Below are 7727 nucleotides of genomic sequence, written 5' to 3'. Positions count from 1 at the left end.
ACTTTGGGAGGCCAAGGCGGGCAGATCACAAGATCAGGAGTTCGAGACCAGGCTGGCGAATATAGTGAAACTCCATCTCTACTAAAAGTACTAAAATTAGCCGGGTGTGGTGGTGGGTGCCTGTAGTCCAAGCTACTTGGGAGGCTGAGGCAGGAGAATTGCTTGAACCCTGGAGGTGGAGGTGGCAGCGCGCTGAGATCGCACCACTGCACTCCAGCCTGGGCGACAGAGCAAGACTGCACCCCACCCCCCACAAAAAAGAAAAACCTCATACATATAACTGAGTGGTTGTGGGATGTAGTTTATATAGCCATTTCCCTCCCATTGGACTGTAAGGTTGTTTACAAATTTTTTGCTATAATAAATAACCATTTGTATGTTCTTATGCATAAATAAAAATTTTAACTAATATACTTTATTTATTTATTTATTTTTGTTTATCTATTTTTGAGACGGAGTCTCACTCTGTCGCCCAGGCTGGAATGCAATGGCACGATCTCGGCTGACTGCAACCTCCGCCTCCTGGGTTCAAGTGATTCTCCTGCCTCAGCCTCCCGAGTAGCTGGAATTACAGGCGGCTGCCACCACGCCTGGCTAATTTTTGTATTTGTAGTAGAGACGGGGTTTCACCATGTTGGCCAGCCTGGTCTGGAACTCCTGACCTCGTGATCTGCCCACCTCGGACTCCCAAAGTGCTGAGATTACAAGCATAAGCCACCGCGCCCGGCCTATATTTTATTTTTTTAGAGTAGATTTGGTTCACAGCAAAATTGAGCTGCAAAAGTACAGAGTTCCCATATAATTCCTACGCCATACATGCACAGCTTCCCTCACTATTGACACCCTGCACCCTAGTGATGTATTTGTTACAGGTGATGAACCTACGTTGATATATTATCACTGAAAGACCAGCATTTACCTTAGGGTTCACTTTTGGTGTCCATTCTTTGGTTTTTGACAAACATATGACATGTATCCACCATTGTAGTAATATACAGAATACTTTCACTACCCTAAAAATCCTCTGTGCTCTGTTTGTTTGTCTCATGCTTTCCCCTAATTCCTGGGAACCACTGGTCTTTTTGCTCCCTCCATAGTTTGGCCTTTTCCAGAATGTCATCTACAATCATGCATCACTTAATGAGGGGGGTATGTTCTGATAAACGAGTTGTCAGGTGATGTTGTCATTGTGTGAACATCATCGAGTGTACTTACACAAACCTAGATGGAATAGCCTCCTACACCCCTAGACTATATGGGATAGCCTATTGCTCCTAAGCTACAAACCTGTATAGCAGGTTACTGTACTGAATTCTGTAGGCAACTGTAACACAATGGCAAGTAGTTTGTCTATCTAGAGGTGGAAAAGGTAGAGTAACAATAAGATATTATAACCTCATGGGACCACCGTCATATATGCAGTCCATTGTTGACCGAAAACTGTGTGGCATATGACTGTATTTGGAGTCATCTAGTATGAAGCTTTTTCAGATTGGCATTCTTCACTAAGTAATATCCACTTAAGTTTTCTCTATGTCTTTTCATGGCTTGATAGCTCTTTTTTTTTTTTTTTTTTTTTTTTTTTTTTTTTTTTTAAGACAAGAGTCTGTCGCTCTGTCACCCAGGCTGGAGTGCAGTGGTGTGATCTTGGTTGACTACAACCTCCACCTCCCGGGTTCAAGCTATTCTCCTGCCTCAGCCTCCCAAGTAGCTGGGATTATGGGTACCCACCACCATGCCCAGCTAATTTTTTGTATTTTTAGTAGAGACAGGTTTCAGTATGTTGGCCAGGCTGGTCTCAAACTCCTGACCTCGTGATAGTGAACCACTGCACCCAGCCAGCTTTTTTTTTGGAGGCCGAGGTGGGCGGATCATCTGAGGTCAGAAGTTCAAGACCAGCCTGGCCAAATCGTGAAACCCCATCTGTATTGAAAATACAGAAATTAGCTGGGGATGGTGGCGCATGCCTGTAATCCAGTTACTCCAGAGGCTGAGGCAGGAGAACTGCTTGAACCCAGGAGGCAGAGGCTGCAGTGAGTTGAGATGGTACCACTGCACTCCAGCCTGGGCAACAGAGCAAGACTCCATCTCAAAAAAAAAAAAAAAAAAAGAAGACATGAGCTTAACAAATATATTGATATATGGGAAAATGTTCAACATCACTAATCATCAGGGAAATCCAAGTAAAACCACAATGAGGTATCATCTATGCTGTGAGGATGAGGAGAAAAGGGATCTCATAGACGGTTGGTGGGAATATAAACTATTGCAGCCACTATAGCAAACATTATGGAGTTTCCTCAAAAAACTGTAAATCAGACCAGGTATGGTGGTTTCCACCTGTAATCCCAGAGCTTTGGGAGGCCAAGGTGGGGAGATCACTTGGAGCCAGGAGTTCAAGACCATTTTAAGCAACACATCAAGACCCTGTCTCTACAAAACATTTTTAAGCCAGGCATGATATAGTGTGCCTATAGTCTTGTTACTTAGGGGCTTAGGTGTGAGGATTGCCTGAGCCCAGGAGTTCAAGGCTACAGAGAGCTATGATTGTACAACTGCACTCCAGCCTGGATGAAAGAGTGAGACTCCATCTTTAAAAACAAAAATAAAAACAAGGCCAGGCACAGAGGCTCATGCTTGTAACCTCAGCACTTTGGGAGGCTGAGACAGGAGGATTGCTTGAGGGAGGACGAGATTGCAGTGAGCCATGATAGTGGAACCATACTCTAGCCTAGGTGACAGAGCGAGACCCTGTCCCAAGATAGATAAAATATTGCTGGGTGTTGTGGCTCACACCTGTAATCCCAGCACTTTGGGAGGCCGAGACCAGTGTATCACAAGGTCAGGAGTTCGAGACCAGCCTGGCCAACATGGTGAAACCCCGTCTGTACTAAAAATACAAAAATTAGCTGGGCGTGGTGGCGCATGCCTGTTATCCCAGCTACTTAGGAGGCTGAGGCAGGAGAATTGTCTGAACCCGGGAGGTGGAGGTTGCAGTGAGCCACTGCACTCCAGCCTGGCACAGAGCAAGACTCCATCTAAAAAAAAAAAAAAAAACCGGCTGGGTGTGGTGGCTCATGCCTGTAATCCCAGCACTTTGGGGGCTGAGGCAGGAGGATTACTTGAGGTCAGGGGTTTGAGACCAGCCTGCCCAACATGGTAAAACCACGTCTTTACTAAAAATGCAAAAATTAGCCGGGCATGGTGGCAGGCACCTGTAATCCCAGCTACTTGGGAGGCTGAGGCATGAGAATCTCTTGAACCCAGGAGGTGGAGGTTGCAATGAGCTGAGATCATGCCACTGCACTCCAGCCTGGGCGACAGAGTGAGACTTCTTCTCAAAAATTAAAAAATAAATAAAACAAAAAAACTACAAATCAAACTACCATATGATCCAGCAATCCCACTACTGGGCATTTATCCAAAGGAAAGGAAATCAGTATATTGACGAGACATCCACACCTCCGTATTTATTGCAGCGCTATTGACAACAATCAAGATATCGAATCAACCTTGGTGTCCAACAGCTGATGAATGGATGAAGAAAATGTGGCACGTACACAATGGAATTCTTTTCAGCCATAAAAAAGAATGAAATCCTGTCATTTATGTCACCGTGGATGAAACTGAGGACATTATGTGAAGTCAGATAAACCAGGAATAGAAAGTTAAACACCGCATGTTCTCACTCACACGTGGAAGCTTTAAAAAGCTGATGTCATAGAAGGAAAAAGTAGAACAGAAAATACTAGAGGATGGAAAGGGGAGGGGAAAGGAAGCATAGGGAGAGATTTGTTAAAGGTTACAAAATTACAGCTACATAGGAGGAATAAGTTCCAGTGTTCTATGCCACTGTTGGAATGACTACAGTTAAGAATAATAATAATAGTTTCAAACAGCTAGGTGGAGGATACTGAATGCTCCCAAAACAAACAAAATGACAAATGTTTGAGATGATGGATATGCTAATTACTCTGATCACTGTACACTATATGTATTGAAACATCACTATGTACCCCATAAATATGTACAATTATTATGTATCAATTAAAAAATACAATTATACTAAATTAAAAAGAAACAAACTGGTGCATCCAGACAATGGAGTATTATTTTGTGGTAAAAAGAAATGAGCTATCAGCTGAGCTATGTACCTGAGCGGGGCTGGGCATGGTGGCTTACGCCTATAATCCCAGCACTTTGGGAGACCAAGGCGGGTGGATCACCTGAGGTCAGGAGTTTGAGACCAGCCTGGCCAACATGGTGAAACCTTGTCTCTACTAAAAATACAAAAATTAGCCGGGTGTGGTGCCACATGCCTGTAGCCCCAGCTACTTGGGAGGCTGAGGCAGAAGAATCGCTTGAACCCAGGAGGCAGAGGTTGCAGTGAGCTGAGATCACGCCATTGCACTCCAGTCTGGGCAACAAGAGGGAAATTCCGCCTTAAAAAAAAAAAAAAGTTTTCCCAGCACCATTTCTTGAAGAGACTATCCTTTCCCCAGTGAGTGTTCTTGGCACCTTTGTCAAAAATCAGTTGGCTAAGCCGGGGCAGTGGCGCACACCTGTAATCCCAGCACTTTGGGCGGCTGAGGTGGGCGGATCACCTTAGGTCAGGGGTTCAAAACCAGTCTGGCCAACATGGTGAAACTCCGACTCTACTAAAAATACAAAAATTAGCCGGACATGGTGTCAGGCGCCTGTAGTCCCAGCTACCCTGGAGGCTGAGGCAGGATAATCACTTGAACTCCGGAGGCAGAGGTGCAGGGAGCTGAGATTTTGCCACTTTGCCACTGCACTCCAGCCTGGGTGACAGAGCAAGACTCCATCACAAAAAAAAAAAAAAAAAAAAAAAAAAAAAAATCAGTTGGTTATAGATTCATGGACTAATTTCTGGGTTTTCTATTATTTCCTATTGGTTTATGTGTCTATTTTTATGTCACTACCATGCTATTTTAGTTACTACAGCTTTGTGGTATATTTTGAAGACTGGTAGTGTAATGCCTTCAGCTTTGTTCTTTTTGCTCAGGATTGCTTTGCCTATTTGGGGTCTTTTGTGGTTTCTTATGAATTTTAGGATTTTTTTTTCTATTTCTATGAAGAATATACTGACATGTTGATAGATAGTACAGTGAATCTGTAGATTGCTTTTGGTAATACGATCATTTTAACAATATTAATTCTTCCAATCCATGAACATGGGCCGTCTTTCCATTTGTATCATCTTCAACTTCAATTTCTTTCATCAGTGTTTTGTAGTTTTCCTTGTAGAAGTCTTTCACCTCCTTGGTAAAATTTATTTGTAGGTTTTTTTTTTAGAGCTATTATAATGGAATTGCATTCTTGATTTCTTTTTCAATTAGTTCATTGTTCATGTATAGAAACACTACTGATTTTTGTATGTTGATTTTGTATCCTGCAACTTTACTGAATTTGTTTATCAGTTTTTTGGTAGTCTTTAGCTTTTTCTATGTATAGGATTATGTCATCTGCAAACTGGAACAATTTGACTTCCTTCTTTTCCAATTTATAAGTCCTTTATTTTTTTTCTCTTGCCTAATTGCTCTGGCTTTGGTATCCATTCACCTACTGAAGGACAGCTTGGGCCTCAGAGTTTTGACAATTATGAATAAAGCCACTATCAACATCTGTGTGCAGGTTTTTGTGTGCACGTAAGTTTTCAGTTCATTTGGGCAGATACCAAGGAGTATAACTGCCGGGTTATAGAATAGTACTTTTAGTCATATAAGAAACTGTTAAATTGTCTTCCAAAGTGAATATACCATTTTGCATTCCCACCAGCAATGAATGAGAGTTTTTGTTGCTTCACATTCTCACCAGCACTTGATATGCCAATGTTTGGTATCTCAGTCATTCTAATAGGTGCATAGTGGTACATCATTATTGTTTTAATTTGCAATTTTCTAATGACATATGATTTAGAACACCTTTACATATGCTTATTTGCTATCTGTAGATGTTTGGTGAGATATCAGCTTGGTTCTTCTGCCCACTTTGTAATCAGATTGTTGTTTTCTTTTCTGTTTTTTTTTTTTGTTTTTTTTTTTTGAGACAGTGTTTCACTCTTGTCGCCCAGGCTAGAGTACAATGGCACAATCTTGCTCACTGCAACCTCCATCTCCCAGGTTCAAGCGATTCTCCTGCCTCAGTCTCCCGAGTAGCTTTTAATATACCAAAGACCACACCCAGCTAATTTTTGTATTTTTAGTAGAGATGGGGTTTCACCATGTTGGCCAGGCCGATCTCGAACTCCTTACCTCAGGTGATCCACCCGCCTTAGCCTCCCAAAGTCTTGGGATTACAGGCATGAGCCACAGTGCCCAGGTTGTTTGTTTTCTTATTGTTGAGATTTTAAGAGTTTTTTTTGCATATTGCGAATAACAATCCTTTATCAAATGTGTTCTTTGCAATTATTTCCCCCTAGTCTGTGGCTTGTCTTCTCATTCTTTTGACATTGCCTTTTGTGGAGCGGAGGTTTTAAATTTTAATGAAGTTCAGCTTATCGGCCGGGCGAGGTGGCTCACGCCTGTAATCCCAGCACTTTGGGAGGCCGAGGCGGGCGGATCATGAGGTCAGGAGATCGAGACCATCCTGGCTAACACAGTGAAACCCCGTCTCTGCTAAAAATACAAAAAAATTAGCTGGGCGCGGTGGCAGGCGCCTGTAGTCCCAGCTATTCGGGAGCCTCAGGCAGGAGAATGGCGTGAACCCGGGAGGCGGAGCTTGCAGTGAGCCGACATCGCGCCACTGCACTCCAGCCTGGGCGACAGAGCCAGACTCCGTCTCAAAAAAAAAAAAAAAAAGAAAAGAAGTTCAGCTTATCAATTATTTTTTCATAAATCATGCCTTTGGCATTATATCTAAAAAGCCATCCCCCATGAGGCCAAGAGGCCATGGCCATGTTAGCCCAGCTGCAAGGCTGGCCATCAGTTGTAGGAAATCCGTACTCCTTTAGGAACAGTATTGTGAATACATTTAGAAAAAAAGGAAAATGATCCAGCAGTTAAAATTCAGAGCTGGTTTACAGGATATTGACATGTTCAGGCATACATTAGGCACTTAAAAGAATTGTAATAACTATTCAAAAATGGGGTAGTTATTTAGGCAGCAGTGGCTATCAGGATTGAGAGAAGATGGTGAGCGGCTGTAAGAATGAGAAATACTGTTTTAATTTTTATTATTATTATGTTTTGAGACAGAGTTTCACTCTTGTTGCCCACCCAGGCTGGAGTGCAATGGCACGATCTCAGCTCATCACAACCTCTGCCTCCCGGGTTCAAGCAATTATCCTGCCTCAGCCTCCCGAGTAGCTGGGATTACAGGCATGCGCCACCATGCCTGGCTATTTTAGTAGAGACAGGGTTTCTCCATGTTGGTCAGGTTGGTCTCGAACTCCTGACCTCAGGTGATCCGCCTGCCTTGGCCTCTCAAAGTGCTGGGATTACAGGCATAAGCCACCGTGCCTGGTCTGTTTTAATTATTTTTATCTGAAGGAGTACCTGAGAATGGTTTGGGGAACCAGTGATGCAATTTAGGGAGGCACTAGAGGAGTTTGCAGAGATAAAAAAGAGAGAAGAGAACAAAGCTAAGCTCAAAAAGGAAGCAAAGAAAAGAGATCACTAAGTGTAAAAGATGCATTTTCTCCTCAGCACAAAGCAGATTCCAGGTGTATATAATTCACCATTCAGAAAAAAATTCCGTGGCCTGTC

General features: G+C 42.9%; 1 protein-coding gene across 9 annotated transcripts in view; it reads left to right on the top strand.

The window, feature by feature from the left end:
- CCND3 (cyclin D3) overlaps positions 1–7727 on the top strand; it is a 115103-nt gene that overhangs the window by 54515 nt on the left and 52861 nt on the right. The window contains exon 2 of one of the 9 annotated variants that reach the window (NR_187571.1): positions 3480–4097. The exons of the other annotated variants lie outside the window; for them this stretch is intronic. The gene's annotated coding sequence lies outside the window, so the exon portion shown is untranslated. Of the gene's footprint in view, positions 1–3479; positions 4098–7727 lie in introns of those variants that run through there. 9 annotated transcript variants of the gene reach the window in all.

This window comes from Homo sapiens, chromosome 6, assembly GCF_000001405.40.
Source record: "Homo sapiens chromosome 6, GRCh38.p14 Primary Assembly".
NCBI lineage: Eukaryota > Metazoa > Chordata > Mammalia > Primates > Hominidae > Homo > Homo sapiens.
Note: the sequence above shows the minus strand (reverse complement) of the source record. Positions and strands in the feature narration are given on the sequence as shown.